Consider the following 20,731-nt stretch of genomic DNA (forward strand, 5'->3'; position numbering starts at 1 on the left):
CTCTCCTCACCACCTACTGTCACTACCTTCACATTGATCCAGCCTTCACTATGACAGTCACCTCCCACTCCTTTTTTCCCTCTACAGCCAGTTCTCCACCAAGAGCCACTTATCTTTTTATACTTAGATCAGTCAACATCATACCCTGCTCAAAACCCTCCCATGGCCTCCCATCCTGATCCTCCAGCCTCCCTACCTCCCCATTTCCCTTGCTCACTGTCCGGCCAGGCCTCCTTGCTGTTCCTCGAATATTCCAAGCACATGCCTACAGCGGGCCCTTGGGTTGCTGCTTTTCCCACCTGGAGTGCTCCTCCCACACCCATCACCATGGCTCACTCCCCCGTGACCAACAGGTCTGTGCCCAAAAGTCACCTCCTCAAAGAGGCCCTTCCTGACCACCCATCCAAAATAGCAGAGAAAAACAGTACAAACTTTTTAAAATTAAAAATAAATAAATACATAAATAAATAAAATAGCAGTTCTGGCCACTTCCCCTCCTCCCTTGTCTGACTTTATTTTCATTCTTCCCACCACCTGGTGCTTGTTTCTTGCTGTCTTCCTGAGTAGATTACAAGTTCCCCAAAGGCAGGGTCCTTCTCTGTCTTGTGTACCACTGTTATCCCAGTGCCCACAACAGGGCTTCGGAGCACTTACGCATGAAGAAATGTGTCTAAGTCGAAAAGTGAAAAAGGTCCGGCCCAGCAGCCAGCTTTACCTTCTTCCCAGCTGTGGGGCTGCTCTCCGCACTCTGCAGGGGGCTCCTCTGGGGGCTTCGGCTTTCCTGGGGGACACACCTGCCCATGTACACGCTGTAGTCGAGAAGCATCTTCTGCCGCACGCTGCCTGCCAGCTCCTTCTGCTTTGGCTGTGACATGATCTCCTCCACACTGCCTTTGCTGCTGCTGCGGCTGTGGGTCAGGTGCCCGGACGGACTGTTGTGTCTGCTGTGTGCAGGCAAAAGCCCTGGAGCCAAGAAGACGGGGGCTATTCACACAATGAAGAAAACAACTGCAAAGTAAGCGGACTCCCTGAGAAAAGCAGCTACAATGCTATCAAATGACTGTTTAAAAATATTTATAAGGGGCTGGGCATGGTGGCTCACGCCTGTAATCCCAGCACTTTGAGAGGCCGAGGCGGGCGGATCACGAGGTCAGGAGATCGAGACCATCCTGGCTAACACAGTGAAACCCCATCTCTACTAAAAATACAAAAAATTAGCCGGGCGTGGTGGTGGGCGCCGGTAGTCTCAGCTACTCGGGAGGCTGAGGCAGGAGAATGGTGTGAACCCAGGAGGTGGAGCTTGCAGTGAGCCAAGATCATGCCACTGCACTCCAGTCTGGGCAACAGAGCGAGACTCCATCTCAAAAAAAAAAAAAAAAATTTTATAAGTTTATTTCCCACCCTGAAAAGTACCTTTTTCTCTAAGGTAATTTTTAAGAACGGTTTTTATTCCTCTCCAAGATAATTAGAGTAATGGAAGTAAAGAAATATAGTTGGTAGGTACTATTCTCTTTTCTCCTGATGATCTTTTAGGAAAAGGTCAAATATAGGACCAACACATCCCAAGTAGTGGCGAACTTGTCAGTGCTATCAGGGGTAAATGGAAAGTGGGTAGAGAGCTAATTAATTGTTCATCCACAAGCTCACAGCAATTCCAAAGATGTCTTTCATTCGACAAATTATGCATCAAGCACTTTCAAGCACACCATGCTAAAAAGAAGACATAATCCCTGCCCTTGAACTCACGCACCTAAGCAGATAAATCACAATCTTCTGTAACAAGTGTCAAAATTGTAGCACAACTAAGGGACTCTCTGGGCAAAAAGAAGGGGGTGACTACCTCTGCCCAAGAGACTGGAGCGGTGCTTACCCTAGCTGACTTTCACAGCAGTGACATCTACGCTGTATCTTGAGGGAATAGTTGCCATTTTCCTGGCCCAGGTGGGGAAGAGTATTCCAGGTACAGGAAGCAGCATATGCAAAAAGCAGTGACAGGGCACAGTATGTTTGGAGGCCAGTGAGAGATTCAGTGAAGTTCTAAGCATAGTACGGGGGGCAGAGGATAGGAAATGAGGATGGAGAGATTAGCCAGGAACAGACTGCAAAGTGCCTCAAAAGCCAACCTCGAATTTAATATTGACCCTGTTGCGCCAGAGGTTTTAAGCATGGGATGCGCCTGATGCTAACAATTTTATTTAGATTTACTCTGATGGCCAGGTGAAACGTAAAGTGGTTAAAATCAAACCAGGCTGGGCGCGGTGGCTCACGCCTATAATCTCGGCACTTTGGGAGGCCGAGACAGATGAATCACTTCAGGTCAGGAGTTCGAGACCAGCCTGGCCGACATGATGAAACCCCATCTCTACTAAAAATACAAAACATTAGCCTGGCATGGTGGCCTGTACCTGTAGTCCTAGCTACTGGGGGAGGCTGAAGGCAGGATAATCGCTTCAACCTGGGAGGCGGAGGTTGCAGTGAGCCAAGATCATACCACTGCACTCCAGCTTGGGCAACAGAGCAAGACTCTGTCTCAAAAAAAAAAAAAAGAAAGAAAGAAAGAAAGAAATCAAAAAATCAAATCAAACCATTTTCTTCTTAAGAGGCTCCAACCATCAGAACCATAATTCCCCAGAGCCTCACAAAGGGTCACGCAAGCCATTTCTTAATTTAAATTTTAGCCAGATAATTTCCAGCACTTTAATATTTTACACTGCATAACTATAAAAATACATTTTTGTAACTTTTATTATCCTTATACCGTTTTCATGTTTAGCATTTTTTTAATTGCTAGGATAAAAGCTACATCAAAAACATTAAAAAATAGATGTAAACTAATATTACATTTAATATCCTGGATTGGATCCTGGAAGAGAAAAAGGACATTAGTAGAAAAACCAGTGAAATCCAAATAAAGATTACAGTTTAGTTAATAGTAAAAAAGAGAAAAAAAGATGAAATAAACAGGGCAGCATGATACCAACACTTCAAACCAAACTGATCCCATTGTGACTGAGCCACACTCCATGTAGAGGAGGAAAGGAACCCCCTACGAGGCCTGGCTGGTGCTCATTGCCCACAGAACAGCCTCTTCACATCACCTCACCCTTCCCCTGAGTGGGACAAAGCACAGGAGTCGTCACTGCACTGTGGGTCTCATGGACAATAGCCCCTGATAAAGTCAAGGACCTTCCTGTGCAGAGACCATACTGGAATTCTGCCAAATGACCATGTGGCTTTCCTGCTGTCTCCAGATTCTTATTCCTCCGGGAGGCCTTTCCTGACCTGCAGCCTGGGCACTGCTGGCTGGAAATGCAGAATCTCAGCCCCACCCATGACCTCGAGTCAGAACCTGCATCTTAAGATCCCGTCAAACATTCAAGTCTGAGAAGCACAATCCGTGTTGCTAGAGAAATCTATGATTTTGGTGACAGCATCCCTGAGGGAGAGGACAGGGCAGGTCGTCGAGCAGGAAGACTTCTAACTTCTTGGTACTGATAGATGTACCTGGCCTCAGAGAATCAGACCAGTCCTACCTTCACGGCTGACCACCTATGTAGTCACTGATTCAGAGATGGTTTTGAAGAACAGCACAGTGCTCACCAATTTACCTTGCTACTAGTTTAATCACACTTTTGGTGGCTTAAACTTACCATAAATATCTCAATTCATAGCTTTCAAAGGCAACCCAGACTTACAGATGTACGAAGACATTAGTGGTGTGTGAGCCTTGCTTTAGTACCAGTGAGTGCACTGAAGGTTTTCCCACATCTCTGACTCTTACCATTATGTTTGTTGTGTGCTGAGTGGAACTTTTGGCAGGATTTCCAAAAATTGAACTCGTTAAAAATAATCAAATGCTTTATTTAAGTCCATGAATAACATGCCTCTTTTGAAGGTGCTCTGGGGGGCCCCTAAGTACCTAAGGTGGTGTTTCCTGGTGGCCCCATATACCCCCGTGGGTTACCTGATTCTGAGCTTCAGTGCCTAGACCAGTAGACCTTTATATTTCCAGTAGGAATACAATCTGAGCCACATAAACAATTTTAAATTTTCTAGTAGTCACATTTAAAAATGTAAAAAGAGGTCGGGCACAGTGGCTCACGCCTGTAATCCCAGCACTTTGGGAGGCCAAGGTGGGCGGTTCACTTGAGGCTGGGAGTTTAAGATCAGCCTGACCAACATAGTGAAATCCTGTCCCTACTAAAGATATAAAAAATTAGCTGGGCGTGATGGCGGGTGCCTGTAATCCCAGCTACTCAGGAGGCTGAGGCAGGAGAACTGCTTGAACCTGGGAGGCGGAGGTTGCAGTGAGCCAAGATCGTGTCACTGCACTCCAGCCTGGGCAACAAAGCTAGACTCCATCTCAAAAAAAAAAAAAAAAAAAAAAAAAAGAAAGAAAGAAAAAGAAAGGTAAAAAGAATACAATTAATTTGAATATATTTTTAACCCAATATATCTAAAATATTATTTCAACATGTAACCAATATAAGAAGTTATTAATGAGATATTTTACATTCTTTTATTGGACTAAGACTTTGAAATCCAATGTGCATCTTATACTTAGAGCACACCTCCATCTGGACTGGCCACACTTCAAGTGTTCAAAAGCCACATGGGGCTGGTGGCTACCGTAAGAAGCAGCACAGGTTTAGACCTACCAGGAGAGCTAGGCAGTGCCTGGTGCTGAGGAGTTCTTACCCACTTGAATTTTCTTTTACTCAGTGTTATGGGTTGAATTGTGTCCTCCAAAAAATATGTTAAAGTCCTAACCCCAGTATCTCAGAATGTGACCTTATTTGGAAACAGAGTCATTGTAGATGCCATTCATTAAAATAAAGTCATACTAGAAACAGGGTGGGCTCCTAATCCCATATGACTGGTGTCCTTCCAAGAAGACACAGAGCCACTGACAGACAATGCCATGTGATGATAGGCCAGTGTGGAGTGATGCGGCTGCGGGCCAAGTATTGATGGTCACCACCAGAAGCTGCAAACACGCAAGGAAGGATTCTATGCAGAGTCTCACAAGGAGCATGGCCCTGCTAACACCTTGATTTCAGACTTCCAGCCTCCAGTACTGTGAGAGAATACATTTCTGTTGTAAATCACCCAGCTTGTGGTATTTTGTCCCAGCAGCCCTAGGAAATAAATATATCTAGTAATCTCCCCATTCGTCTTGATTCTTAAAAGGGACTTCTTAGATCTCAGTGCTGGGATTAGGATGGAATCTGGTGTTGAAGCTGACAGAATGGAAGGTTAGCAAAGGAGTTAGGGCAAAGGCTCAGATTATGTTCCAGGGGAAGGAACCAAAGCACTCTGAAGCAATGTGTGACACTCATGTGACCAGCATAACTCCCGGATCAACACAAATGCCTTGTTAGAGAAAGCCCCAGAGTGGCTCCCTCCTAGTCTTTGTTTCAGATCCATGTAAGAAAGCTTTCCCTAATAACACCCACACTGGTCTTGTCCCAATTATTTGTTACACCACACTCATTTTAGCATGGCAATTTGTGAACACCTGACTCATACGTGCCAGTTTTGCATAACAGGCACAACACCTGAAGGACAGGGGAGCTACTGCTTTTTACTGGTTTTGTGTCTCTTGCAGCTCCAAGCCCAGCCAAAGCTGAGCAAAGAGGTGCTGCATGGTTATCAATCCGAATGACCACGATCTGACCTGAATGGTCAGGAAGTGCAAGGATTCTGCATTCTATGGCAAGCTCAGGCTCGGAAGACATATTGAGGGTCAGGTGCTCGAAAGTACCAGCCTGAAGGATCTCCCTGACTCACCTGCCATCTCAGAACCAGGGTTTTTCTGTTGCTGCTTCTCTCAGGGGAGTCACATTATATACAAATAAAACATAACCAGCAAAGGCTAATAAACATCATCTGCAAATGGATCCATCATTGGTTAAATGATTTGGGACAGACGGCTGCAGTGATCAGCCTAGATGGTAAATGAGTCATGAGAATGCACATTAGGTGGCAGACAACCATCAGTTCAGGGTGGGCTTCCTTCCTTCCTTCCTTCCTACCTGGCATTCTTTCTCTATTCTCCCTAGTGGCCCTTTAAAAATGCATAAGCATTTAGCACAAACATCATTACCTGGTTTACCTCCAGAGACACCCGATGACTTCTTGATTTCCGACTTTAGCTTAGATGCCAGAATAAATCTCCTAAACCATTCCTCTTTTTCTCGGCCAGTTCTCCCAAAGAGATAGAGTATCTGATCTCGCTGGCTAGATCTTGTTCCCTCCTGAGGGCGGGGTGGCTTCTTAGGGTCCTCACTTCCCTCAGCTGGCGGCTTCTCTTCTGAAGTCTCCTTATCAGTCTGAGCTTTAGACATAAAGTCATCTTGCTGACCAAGCTCGATACAAATGGGGTACTTTTTATTCCAGATTCGCTTTCGAGCCAAAGTTTTAGGTACAAGATAAATCTACAGAGAAAGAAAAATGATGATTTATATATTAAAGATTGGCTACACTATGCATTAATATTATGCATAGCACAAAGTGCAAACCTTATAGACTTTTTGACTAAAATGATGAATATGAAATAACTTTCAACACTTGTTCATAACATGACTACAGAAACTGGAATTTTCAGAAGTGTCTTGTTATTCTTCAAAATCATTCCACAAAGTAGGCATTTAATAATTTTGCGAGAGTTATAAATATCCGTAATTTTCAGGTGGCAGTAGCACAATAATAATGTTTAGCTGCTTATCATCAACTATGTTTGGCTATCAACTGAATTTAATGACCTTGGACCAAACTTAAGTTGGAAGAAAAAAAAAGATAGCTAAAATCTAGATGGGAAGCTAAAGTCAACCTTGAGTATCAAACTCAAGTTAAGAATAAACTTATATAAAAACTATTTTAAGTACTTCTCTCACATTGGAGAAATCTAAAGATCATTCAGATGAACTGTAAGAACAGAGAAACAATAGCTTTGTGGAATACATAATTTACATTTCTCACAAAAATAGAAGTATATAATACTTAATCAAAATGTAGTTATTTTGCATATCTATCATTTGCACATGTACAAAGACTTCAATAGTTAAGTACCGCAGAATCACCACACATAGCCACACAGCTTTTTGTTTGACTGAAATAATTAGCTTTTAAAGGCAGAATTCTGAGTGCACAACACTTGTTCCTCAAGTTGTGGTCTGTGGACCAGCAGCCTGAGTATCATCTGGGAGCTCATAAAAATGCAGGCCCGAGGCCCTGCCCACAGCTACTGAATCAGAATCTGCATTTAACAAGATGCCCAGGTGATGTGCATAAACTTTAAAGTGTGAGAGGTACTGTCCCCTAAGGTATACTGTTCAACGACCACAAACCTTTTTAGGGTATAAAAAAATGCAGTTAAGCATCCAAGATGCCATATGCTTTTCATTCATCTAAGCTATCCTTCCAAAATTGCTCAGGCTCACCTTGCTGTCTGAGAGGTCATAGATTTTCTGGCTGATGTAGGTGACCTCTGGCTTGGGTTCATTGTAGCTGGCCCTCCTGGATATATTTTTATTGGGCTTTGAAAGTCTTAAGGTTCCACCCTCAAGTCGAACAAAGACTGAATGTGTCAAAGTCGCATGGTAGGTTTCTGGATCATAGTTGTAAATCTCATTCATCCATCCCTGATGAAGAAAAACTTCCATTAGTAATATCAGAATAATCGCAAATCTGATTTAGTGTGAAATGATGAACACTGTGGTATTTGGGACACTGAAACCAAACTTGATCACGACACAGATATCAGCTCACCAATGACTACAGGTTGCAAAGAGAAGTGCTTAGCTGGGAGGATAACTGGAACTGAGGAGGTTTTTGATAACCAAAAATCTGGATTTGGAGGAAAAATGGCAATGTTCATTATCCTAAATAAAAGGTTCTTTCTTTTTTTAAAGCTTATAAGCACATCAGGAAACTCAGAAGATTTGTTCATGTGACTGAGCAAGCCTCTCTGCCTGACCTCCTTTGGGGTGATTAATCCCACCCAGTCTGGCCTTCTTAATTAGCTAAACACATGCTCTTCCCAGCCCAGTTGGAATCTTTGAAATTTCAGGTATTAATTCATGTTATCACAGGACTCAGAGAACTACCTCTCCACTTCTGTTGCACTACAATATGTACCTCATTGAAACCATGCAGTAAAGCAGATGATTGAGAATTAGGCATTAAATACATCGTAAATATAATCAATAATATATCAAAATTCAAAGATACATAGTAACTTAAATGGGTAAAATTGTGCTCCAGGTCCCCCTGCCAAATTGGACATAAATGATTTTGTGTTACATATCTTGATTTTTTAAAAGAGCCAACACTGAAATGTATGACAAAAAATACATACACAAAAGCCTAATACACTATACACTGTGTTAAAGCTAATCTCATAGCTGTCATCATCATTCATCACTGAACACTTCTCCTGCCTCAAATACTTTTTCAGGTTATGAGTAGCCCAGATCTCACAAAAGAAGTCCTCTGGGGAGTTTTAATTGATATCTTCCTACTCTCCCCAACTTTTTAAAAATACATGTCTTTGTAATGAGCAGAGAGATGCTAAAGCTCACTACATGGGAGTTGGGACTGTCATTCTTTTCAAGCAATAGCCATTTCCATGCTAAGTATTTGAGTCTCACACTAAAGTCTTGAATTGAAAGCCTATGAGAATGAGGACTCCTCAGAATTCTTTCATTCATCCTTTTATTAAAACACGCATTGAATCTATGTGCGAAGCAATGGGTTAGGAGTTGGGACAAAGATTTTTTAAAAGGACAGGATTCTTGATCCAAAGGTGCCTCCAAAAGAGTAGAGAATTAGGTCTTCATTCCCGTATCCTATGACCCCACTGTAGTAAACATAATAGAGACAAGTTGTCACAAACAGAGCACCTAAGTGTGAAGTGGAAGGAAAAATGGACAAACATATCTCTTTGTCATGGGGGAAAGAGTGTGAAACTTATGAGCCAATTATATGGATTTATATACCTCAGTAGATGTTTTGGCCTGAGCTGGGAGGTTCTCTCCCTCCTCCCAAAGAATGACCGGACAGGAGCAGCATCTATTCAACAATATTGAGTGAGCAAGCAGTGGCCATGGGAAGAGGCGTTTGTGAGGAAACAGCAACAATCAGAGCAATGAAGAGAAAAAGATGACAATTACAGATCACAGTGGGGCCTGAAGTGGACTGTATTGTCAGAGCATCCGTTTGGGTGGGTGTATTTTTGCTAAATGTAGAACTAAGTACTTTCTTTGGCTCACAGTTTTTTTGTCTTTTTCTTTAGTCTGTTCTTATGGCAAATTACATTCATTGACTTTCAAATGTTGAACCAGTCTTGCATTCTCAGGATTAAGGATGTATGAGTCATGATGTGCTGAAATTGGGCTGTATCAGCTCACAAGAACGGATTCTACACATCTCTTCCTAACTCCATGTTCAGTGACTTCACGTTGGTAGCTTTCAACTGGCAACAGTGGGAGTTGCTACATCACGGAAATCAGGGAATAGTCAAATCAAGATTTTTTTTTTTTTTTTTTTTTTTTGGAGAGCCAGTTTACCAGCATAACACTTTGCTGATATTTTGTTCATTTGTCCCTCTAAGTTCATGAAGGAAAATGGTCTATAGTTTTCTTGCAGTGTTTTTTGGTATTAATGAGCCTCAGAAAATGCAGGTAAGTGCATTTGGGAAGTGTTCCCTCTTCTCTATTTTCTGGAAGTTTGTGTAGAATTAATAATATTTCTTCCTTAAAGGTTTGATAGCATTTGCCCATGAAGCTATCTGGGCCTAGATTTTTCCTTGCAGAAAGGTCCCAAACTATGAATTCAATTTCTTTACTTGCTATTGGACTATTTAGGTTATCTATTTCTTCTTGAGTAAGCTTTGGTTTGTATCTTTCAAAGAGTTTATCTATTTTATCTATGTTGTCCAATTTCTGGGCATAATGTTGTTTACAATATTTCCCTATAATCCTGTGAATATCTGTAGTGTCTATGGTGATGCCCCCTCTTTCAGTCCTGACACTGGTAATTTGTGCTTCTCTCAAATCTTTCTTTTCGTATGTATGTATGCACATATATATGTATATATGTATGTATCTATCATCTATGTATTTGATACAGGGTCTTTCTCTGTCATCCTGGCTGTACTGCAGTGGCACAATCATAACTTACTGTAACCTGGAACTCCTGGGCTCAATTAATCCTCCCACCTCAGCCTCCCAAGTAGCAAGGGCTACAGATACGTGTCACTACACCAAGCTAATTTTTTTAAAAAGATCTTTGTAGAAATGGAGTCTTGCTATGTTGCCCAAGCTGGTCTTGAACTCTTGGTCTCAAGCAGTTCTCCCACCTTGGCCTCCCAAAGTGCTGGGATTACATGCATGAACTACCACACCCATCCTCTAACAAGCTTTTAATACTATTAATTTCCCTCTAGGCACTGTATTACCTGCAATTTCTGATAGGTTGTATTTTCAGTTTCCTTCAGTTAAAAATATTTTCTATTTTCCCTTATGACTTTATCTTTAGGCCCACAGGCTGTTTAGAAGTATTTTGCTTAATTTCCAAATATTTGAGAAATTTTCAGATATCTCTCTTACTGGTTTTTAGTGTAATTTCATAATAGGAAACAGGCTTTGTATAATTTCAATTCTTTTAAGCTTGTTATATGGTCTATCTTGGTTCCAAGTGCAGTTAAAAAAAATGCATTCTGCTGTTGAGTAGGGTTTTCTATAAATATATTTATTTGTCTTTTTAAGCACAACCATTTTCACCAAAGATCTCCTGACACAGAACACACAGCTTTCTTCTTATTCAATTTGGTTGCAGAAAATACTGTCTTACATATATAACAGGTTTACCAGGGCTAAAGTTCTAAAGGCAACTAGATTAATAAAGAACTTGAAGCAGATATAATCGTTTTTCTAAGATACTTCAGAGGTTGTTTATGCTTGCAGAGCTACTAAAACCAAGAAGAATCCATGAAGGGCGGGGGGAAGTTGGAGCTGATGAGAACTCTATTAGATCAAAACAGCCACTTGTTATCAGTGTCATTTATGAGCCATTTGGCCATACAGTCCCTGCATGCAATTGCTCTTCTTGAATCATTTCACTCTGAGCACACATCTGCTGGCTAGAGTAGAGGCTACTTGAGAATATGGATTATGTGTGATACTGCCTTCGTCCATCCTAATACCTAAGCTGAGATGCTCAGCATTTATTTAATGGCTGTTTTTGAATTATGATAATCACAATTTGATATAAGATAGACATTACTGCGACAAATCACCATATAAAATATTTTTCGTTATTTCCAGGTACATAGAATTACAGATACATGTACAAAAGCCAGTAGAATTAACATGATACTGGCACCAAATGAGAAAAAAAGGATTAACATGATACTGGAATTTCAGACAAAAATCCCTGCATTATGTTTATCAACCACTCACCACCAGACTAGAAGGGCTAAAGGAGAAAAAAAAGACAAGTATTATATTACATGAAACTGTTCTCCAAGAAAAGGACAGTCTCTGAGAAATAGAGTAAAGTAAGCTGTGGGGATTTTTCCCATTTGAAACTGCTGGGATTGTACAGGTTAATTATCTGATTTATGAATAAGAGAAACTTAGGGATAAAAGTTGTTTCTCTCCAATTGCTTTCATTTCGTCTTTCCTAAATCAGAAAATGCAGACTTGTCCAGGGAGGTGCTGTACAATGGAAATATTAATATAATGTGAGCCATAAATGTGATCATGAAAATATGTAATTTTATTTTTACTTTATTTTTTTGAGATGGAGTCTCGCTCTGTTGCCCAGGCTGGAGTGCAGTGGCGTTACCTTGGCTCACTGCAACCTGCACCTCCTGGGTTCAAGCAATTCTCCTGCCTCAGTCTCCTGAATAGCTGGGATTACAGGTGTGTGCCACCACGCCCGGCTAATTTTCGTATTTTTAGTAGAGATGGAGTTTCACCATGTTGGCCAGGCTGGTCTCAAACTCCTGACCTCAAGTGATCCACCCACCTTGGCCTCCCAAAGTGCTGGGATTACAGGCGTGAGCCACTGCGCCTTGCTGAAAATGTGTAATTTTAAATGGTCTAAGAGCCACATTAAGAAAGAAAAAGCAGGTAAAATTAATTTAAACAATGTATTTTATTTAAATTCATATCAAAATTATGATTTCAACATGTAATCAATATTAAAAATTATTACTGGTATTTTACATTCTGTTTCATACCAAGTCTTCAGAATCCAGTGCGTACTTTACGCTTAGAACACATCTTGATTCCAACTAGCTACACTTCAAGGGCTCAACAGCCACATAGGGCTCAGGACTAGTATATAAGAGACAGTTCAGGGCCAGTTATTGGGTTCAAGCTTTTTAGCCCTAGACCCTTGGCTCAACTATGAATAGAATGGGCAAAGCCTTCCTTTCTCTTCTTGTGCATGCTTTCAACACACTCAGTCTTAGTGATAAGAGACAGTCATTCAGTACATGGCAGTTTTCTGCCATTTTATTAGATGCTTTGCATAATTAAATGAGAGAAGATAATCTAAGTAATCACCTAATGAAATCTATTGTAGAAATTCAAAATCCCTTTTAAAAGTTAACCTGCAATATTAAAAACTCAGAAATATTAATAAGAGTATTCTATGTAGGAGGCTTTTGAAAAACTCATAGTTCTATAGGAAAATTAAGATAATTAATAGACAAACATATCATTTTTTTAGCTTATTCTTTTGATTTTTAGACTTAGAAAACAAAACAAGACATACAGGCATGTGTGTTGAGATACATACACCAGCTCATCTGTTCACAGGTCAGTTTCAGGTGCTGAGCTGTTACTCTGCCCCAGTCTAACCAACTGCTACTCAATTATTATTCCTAGGAAAATTCCTGTCCCTGGATAACAAGAGCAACCATTTCCACAGTGCTTCAGGGATTCGGTTTTTAGCCACAAAGCCAGGCATTCAACCCAGCAACCTGAGCTACCACCTTAGCTGAAGAACAGCCACTGTGGAGTTCTTGCTGGCTGCAGCCTGTGTGCTCGCTCACACATGGGCACAGTTCTGAGATGAGTATGCAATTACCTTCTTTGCTGACAGCTCTGACAGATAAAGGTCATCCTCTACCACTTGCCAAATTCAGGAATCCCAGAACAACCTGATTCAGAAGAATGTGAAAGAGAGAAGGGAGTTTCAAGTCCTACCTACACAGTTCAAAAGCACAAAACCTTACCTGCTGCACTGCAGGAGGCAGAAGTGAGAGGCAAGAAGTAGGTAGGCATAGAAAGAGAATCTAGGAGATGCTTTCCTTCTCTTGCGAAAGCCTGGAGGGGACCCAAATTCCTTTATTCTGCTTGGGCTTGGCTTGGCCCTTCTTCTCCCTACCCCCATCTTTTCAGAATCACCAGCTGCTGTGGTTTCTCCTTCCCTTTTATCTTCAAATTTCCTCCTTCCTGAACTACCATGTTCCTATCTTTGTGTTAAAGATTCATCAGATGCTAAAGTCCACAGCTGCTAAAAAACAAATAAACACAGCACACAAATCAGGATTTGAATTACACATTTATTGTGAACAATCATTTGTTAGCCTAAATGAGACCCTACACTGATCGTATCCAATTACACAAAAGACTGCTGGTCAAAACACATGCGCTGAAACCAACTCACCTACCTTAGCAGAAGTACTGGGAATCTGACAGACCTGGGTTCCAATCATGCCTGCACCACTTACCTCCTGCCAAGGTAGGTGATGCTTATCCCTCAGACACTTGCTTTGCTCACCTGTAAAAGGGTCCAGGTGGCTTACTGCCCAGTTTCATGCCTCCCTGGCCCCTACACCTCACCCTCTGTTCAAGCCATAGTGATTTTTCTCCTACTGACAGTTTATTAAGGTACAATTTGTTTAGAGTTTATAAAGAAATCATAAGCATATGGTTTTTTAAACACTAATATTACTATTCATAATAATAGCTGACATTTAAGCTCACCTTATGGCCCAGGTACCCCAGGTGCATTATCTCCTGTATTTCTGTCAATTCCCTACGATTTTACAGGTAAGAAAAGTGGTGAGAGAGGGGATGTGATTTGCCTTCCAATGTCTACAGAGTGGCAAATCTGGGACTCAAACCAAGTGTTCCTGACTCCAAGGTGTGGGATGCTACCTCAGCTCCATGGCACGGCCCCACCTGCAGTCTGGCTTGTGCCTAGTCACCCCTCAGGTCATGGCAAAGACGGCACTTCTCCTAGGAAGCCTCCCTCCTCACCTAGGCTCAGTTCTCTGGTACTCTCCCATCACTGTATCTGTTAACTACCTGGTTTACTAAACTGAGTTATAAACTCCACAAGAGCAGGGATCATCATGTCTGCCAACCACAACTGTAACAAATGTTTGTTGACTGAATACATGAGGGAAGCCTAATTCAGAGGTGGCTGTGAGGATTAAATGAAATCTATGGGAAGCAGGAGTAAGCAGGAAGGCTAGCGAGCCCCTCACAGCTTATAAGTACAGTGCTAGCTGTGTGAGACGAACAAGCAAAGGAAGAAGCTGACGCCCTAATAAGTGCAAGGAGCTGTAGAGGTTACTTAGAAGACTTGGTCACTCTTCTAAAAAAGAAAAACCAAGGTAAAAATGCACAAAATAGCACAGAACAAGAAAATAACCCCAGAAACCAAAGATTTTCAGGACAGAAATCGGATGGGCTAAGTCTTATCTAGAGCAGAGAGGGGTATTGTGACTGGAGCCCATGTTTCCTGCCCCCTATCTAAGGCTCTTTCCAGAACACTACAGGCTTTGACAGGAAATCTTGAGAGGATCACAGGAGTTGCTACTTGACCCCACTGTCAGGAACCAGGTTGCAGACTGGCCTTAGGGAGGCTCAGGACAAGAGGCTGAGGCACAACTTTCCTCCAAGCCTCCCTAATTCTGCCCCTTCACACTCCTACTGACCTGAAACCAGGTTGCTCTTGCAGAAAGCAATTTCCCGGTGCAAACCTAATCACCTTTTGATACCATTAATCAGCCATTTCCCCCCACCCAGGATCTGACCAAGTCCCTGGATTAAGCTGCAAATGAAATTTCCAGATTTCAGCAATTGTCGAATCTTGAGAGAAGCAGCAACTCCAAGGTCTTCATCCTGTTCTCCATATAGTGCCCAACTATCCACTGCTCAGCTGTTCTAAAATTCTTAAGCCTGAATTTCTTACCAGGTAAAGTATTCATCCAACCTTGTTATGAGACATGGGAATGGGTATAGAGAGATATGGCATATAGATAGCAACATTCCATTTCAACAGCTCAACCGAAAACTCTGAGATGCTCTCAACCCACACTAAAGTGACTCAGACAAGCTTTGTTTCTTTCTGAAGCTAGAGCTGTTAAAATGGACACAGTGCACCCCGCTGGGGACAATGACCCAGTCAGCCAGGCTGCAGCTGTCTGGCCCACAGACTGGTCCTGTGATGGCATTTGTAAAAGGTCAGGGGTTTCTCTCAATTCTCTGCTGGATTTAGAAGCCACGTATGGCTGAAAGTACAAAACCACAATCTATAAAGGGGCCATTTAATATTTTAAAAGATTAAAAGCTACAATTAACCTTTTGCAAAATAATAAAGTCTGGAAGAACTACTACCGTGCTTTCAGTTACAGTGCCAATCAGAAGTTCAAGGCCAATGCTCTATTGCTCAGCTTGATACTGAGCTGACCAGAGAAAAGTGCCAGCCCTATAGCCCGAGGAAGTGATGAGAATTCAGGCACTGTGTGCCTGGCTGACAGCAGTAACAATGCAGCATGTTTTCACCCTGCTGACATGTGGCTGTGCTGGCATTTCAGTCCACCTGTCATTCAGATCCCTGTATCATTGCTTCATCAAGTGTATCAGGGAAGGAGCAAATCCTACACAAGAATAGAGCCAGGGCCTGAGGCCCCTCCTGTTGAAAATCATCTCTGAAGCACATAAAAAGGTAATTACTCTCTGTCTCCAAAACTAAAACATAAGCAGGATTTTGTCTTTACCAAGCCTAAACCTTTTTTGATGTATTAATGGTTTAGGACCAGCATCATCAGTATCAGAAACACAGCACCATAGATCATGGAGTTTGAGAATATGGCAGGGGTGGGACCGTCTAATAAACTTTATAGGTCCTGAGATACAAATTTGATTTTACCCATGAAAGGCAAGCAGACCCACAGACATCCAGAATTCATACTATAAATGATAGCCTTAAGCAGGGAGTCAACATTCAAAATAAATGCTGCTCAAAGACACTATAAAGAACATTAAAAAAAGAAAAGAAAGAAAGCCCATTAGGGGAGGGAAGCGCCGTTAATACCGTCCACATCCTCCAACTGCCTGCTTCAAGGTCACCTTCCCAGCAGTGACACTAGAAGCACTGGAGTCAGGGCTAAAGCCACAGCTTTATCCTGCTCTCCTATCCTCCAGTGCAGAATCTCCCAAACTCAGGTGGCCATAGAACATTTTTGAAATTATAATGCACTGACAGACAGTAATAGAATAGGAGATAACGTGGATTCAAATTAGAAAGGTAAAATGATCTCAGATGAACCACTGAAATGACCAAGGTCTGAGTTACATTAATACATGATAAACATTAAATCATATTAACAAGGGTTAAAATTGTAAGATAAATAGATCAGCAAGCAAATAAATTAGCAGCCTCTGTCACTTTTCAGATCACGCATTCTATCAAACAACTTTTTGGGTATGTACAAATATATACTTTACTTATAATTTATACACATGTCCCAATATATACAGCTTTTATATAAAGTACAGAATAGAAATAAAGAGCAAAAGATGAAATAATTATCCTTTTGATAATTTTTAGTTTTTCCAGTATGACAGCTTTGTACTATCTTCAGCTGACACCTTAAGGCACAATACATACACTCAAGGTGAGGATCACTGTTGATGATCCTGAGTGTAAATCTGTATTTCAGAGTCTTACTGATAATTTCCAAGGTTTTTGGCCAAAAGTCGATATATGGTCATCTGTATGTTAAATATCAGCAAGGCTTATTTACTTTCTCAACTAGAAAGAGCAAAGACTGATACAGACGGAAACTTTACTGTTTTCTTCTTGATTAGTGTCTTCTGCAACCCATTTGAACACCACTGAAAGAAGCAATGGAATGAAAACAGTGAGTCAACAACTATGGCCTGGGCACCCACAAAAAAACACGCTCATGCCCTAGAACCATCTTGCTGGCAAACTCATCTTTGGAGTACAGCAAACCTCTTCTTAACGGCTAATTATTGAACAATAATTACAATAAGAATCTTCGATGTTTTTGCTACTTTTCTTACAGAGTTCAGAAGGTATTTTCAGGATGCTAAAAACTGTACTTATATATAGGTAACCAGAATTACAATTCAGCCATGCCATAAGTTAATGAATTGAGTGAAAAACTGGCAAAATGTTGACAATTGTTGAAACTGGGTGTCAGGCACATGGGGGGTTCATTTTACTATTGCCTCTACTTTTGTCTGTATTTAATATTTTCATCAATAAATAGTTTAAAAATGAAAGTTCAAAAAAGTCATTTTGGGACTACCTGACATCCTTAACCATATTGTTCCTATGGAATTCAGGAAGCACGTTCCACACAGCTGCCTCTCCAACTTCAACACAAGGGGTACCTTCTGGTAAGTGAGGGCTGCCTGCATCAAAACATCTCACTGATTAGCCGTGCATGGTGATGCGCACATGTAATCCCAGCAACTCTGGAGGCTGAGGCAGGAGAATTGCCTGAACCCGGGAGGCAGAGGTTGCAGTGAGCCAAGATTGTGCCACTGCACTCTAGCCTGAGCGACAGAGCGAGGCAAAACAAACAAACATACAAACAAACAAACATCTCACCTGAAAACTATTCTACAAGGGGCACTGGGAAATAGCCATGTTTATAAAAACCATACATAAAAACTCAGGTAACCCATTATAGGGGCAGGATATTTTCAGTAAAGTATAATGTAGAAAGAAATGCACTCACATTTCTTGTCCTTACTCTAAGTTATAAGAGACCAACAAAAAGCAATCCAAGTCTCTTTGGGCTGCATGTAATGGCCATTTTCTCCTAAAGACTTGCTTACTCTAATTTCTTGAAAGAATTTCAACAAATTGAGATTAAATTTACAAATTGGAATTTCTCCTCAAAATTGATCATGTCCTCCCCCCAAAATTATTCTTTTATATATCAAAACCAAAGCCTATATTCAGGGAACCTATTTTTAAAACCTATCCCTCTTATTAAATATCTACATGTGACACAATCTAAAGAAAAAAAAGTTCTCCAAAATCCATTTCTATTAGTTTCTGCAATGGCCTAAATATAATTTTAGTCAAACTTGCAGGCCATATCTTTAAAAAAGAGATGGATTATCACTCTGGAAACCAATATGCTACTGCTGTGTTCTGCTGGTGGTTTATAAATCTGAGATAAAGAATTTGCTCGTGAATATAATTCAAAATTGCATCTGAGTCATATACTCAAACATAAATCCAAGACCCTTATGAAATCTTCAGGAAGCTTTTCATTATAAACATGTAGAAAGTTAGTGTGCAACAGGAATGGCTCTGAATTAAAAATAATCCTGGGCAAGGGACCATCTGATTTGGCTAAGCAAACATGCCAAGTGCAGTTTGCTGACTCTAAATGCCCCATTTTCCCCGTGCCCAAACCCACCCTTTCCCAAGGTCCCCAGCTTAGGGCATCTAGACAGTCACCCAACATAAGAACTCCTGAAGGCTACCACACAGGGGGTGTCACTACAGGGATGCCATTGGTCTGTGGCACACACGAGGCTCTTTGCCTTGAGCTAACCTGCCCAGCCCACCATGCTCTAAGTCCTATGAGCTTCTTCTCACATTTTGGTATTGGCCTTTGTGCCAATACCATGTGCATTCACATGCCACTTCCTGTTGAATGCCTGTAGCAACCTTTCTCCTATTTGCTGCTTCTCATCAGCTATGAACTCCAACATACTAAGAACAAGCAAGCTTTGGAGGAGGTCCTAAGAATTCTTCTGTGGACTTTGTGACAGCTCTTTGGCCACATAGAGGTCTTACTTTTTTTTTTTTTTTTTTTTTTTTTTTGAGACGGAGTTTCGTTCTTGTTGCCCAGGCAATAAGAGTACAGTGGTGCGATCTCAGCTCACTGCAACCTCCACCTCCCAGGTTCAAGCAATTCGCCTGCCTCAGCCTCCCAAGTAGCTAGGATTACAGGCATGCCCCACCACACCCGGCTAATTTTGTATTTTTAGCAGAGAAGGGGGTTCCACCATGTTGGCCAGGCTGGTCTTGAACTCCTGACCTCACATGATCCACCCACCTCAGCCTCCTAAAGTGCTGGGATTACAGGCGTGAGCCATCACACCCGGCCTCTTTTTTACTTATATTCTAGACAGTACAGCTGCTGATCAAATGGGTTCAGAGCGGGAGACGGCGGAGTACCATAGGGCCTAGACAACCACACAACAGTCTTTGAGATTAGCTACTACTTGGCTGCAAATTGGTCTTTTTGGTTTGTCATCCCATAAATGTATCACTGCTGCAGCATCATATATAAATACATATGTCTGCAGTGAGGACCCTGATAAAGTACACAAAAACTTTCCTTTTCTCCATTCTTTCCTCAGCATGTGAAGTTACACAGAAGAAAAACTGCAATGCTCCTTGAACTGTTCATGGAACCAGTAAAGGGGCAAGACTCTTAGTCCAGTCTGGCTGCAAGCAGTTCCTGGACCCATCAGTGAGAACTTATACGGCTCAGAGGTTCAAAACCACATGGTCTCCTAAAACAGTCCCTGAGCACCCAGCTCACTGCCTGACTGGTTCACAGCTCATATATGGAGTCCTCTTAGGGCATAAAGTATGCGGGATCTCGGTCCTGGGCTGGGCCTGTCTTGGAGATCTCGGTCGCAGGCAGGTATTATAGTCTTCCATATTGGTGAGCTTTTTAAAAAGGCTTCCGTACCTTCCCTCAAGAATTGCACCATCTTCTGTAAATACCAACTAAATTGGATCAGATGTACACAAAATAATTCAAACCAGCTCACTTATCCCCTGAAATCAAACATTTTCAATAAGTGGCTCTTTTGGCTTGCCCTAGAAACAAGTTCACAGGCCTGTTTTATAAAGAAACCAAGGTCTATCTCCTACATCACTTTAAAGCCATCAACCTGGAGGCAGAGTGGAAATCTGGAACTCATCACTGCCCACTTCTCCAATCCTCCACTTAGTATTTGCCTTTTTTTTTTCTTTTTTTTTTTTGAGACGGAGTCTCGCTCTGTCACTCAGGCTGGAGGGCAGTGGTGCGATCGCAGCTCACTGCAAGCTCTGCCTCCCGGGTTCACGCCATTCTCCTGCCTCAGCCTCATGACTAGCTGGGACTACAGGCACCCGCCACCACGCCCAGCTAATTTTTTTGTATTTTTAGTAGAGACAGGATTTCACTGTTAGCCAGGATGGTCTCGATCTCCTGACCTCGTGATCCACCCGCCTCAGCCTCCCAAAGTGCTGGGATTACAGGCGTGAGCCACCACACCCGGCCAGTATTTGCCTTTCTACTACTCCCTTTGCATTCAGGAGGGCAGCACTGCGTGAGCACTGGTCACAGGAGAGCAGACTTGGGTCACCAGTCGATTTCTAAGCAACAAATGTCAAGCTTCAAATCCTGTTAAAGATGGACTGTCTTGGCTTG

At 41.8% G+C, this 20,731-nt stretch overlaps 1 protein-coding gene across 14 annotated transcripts in view; it reads right to left on the reverse strand.

Moving 5' to 3' along the window:
• TEX2 (testis expressed 2) overlaps positions 1-20,731 on the reverse strand; it is a 116,034-nt gene that overhangs the window by 40,226 nt on the left and 55,077 nt on the right. For 7 of the 14 annotated variants that reach the window (XM_017024846.3, NM_001288732.2, XM_047436397.1 and 4 more), the window contains exons 3-5: positions 7,443-7,643; positions 6,107-6,437; positions 716-963 (exon numbers count right to left, since the gene is read on the reverse strand). In XM_017024846.3, coding sequence (XP_016880335.1) covers positions 716-963; positions 6,107-6,437; positions 7,443-7,643 — 780 coding nt within the window. Of the gene's footprint in view, positions 1-715; positions 985-6,106; positions 6,438-7,442; positions 7,644-13,559; positions 17,148-20,731 lie in introns of those variants that run through there. The other 7 variants (XM_011525000.3, NM_018469.5, XM_011524999.2 and 4 more) reach the window with 2 other exon arrangements.

The sequence above is a fragment of the Homo sapiens genome, chromosome 17, assembly GCF_000001405.40.
Source record: "Homo sapiens chromosome 17, GRCh38.p14 Primary Assembly".
Classification (NCBI taxonomy): Eukaryota; Metazoa; Chordata; class Mammalia; order Primates; family Hominidae; genus Homo; species Homo sapiens.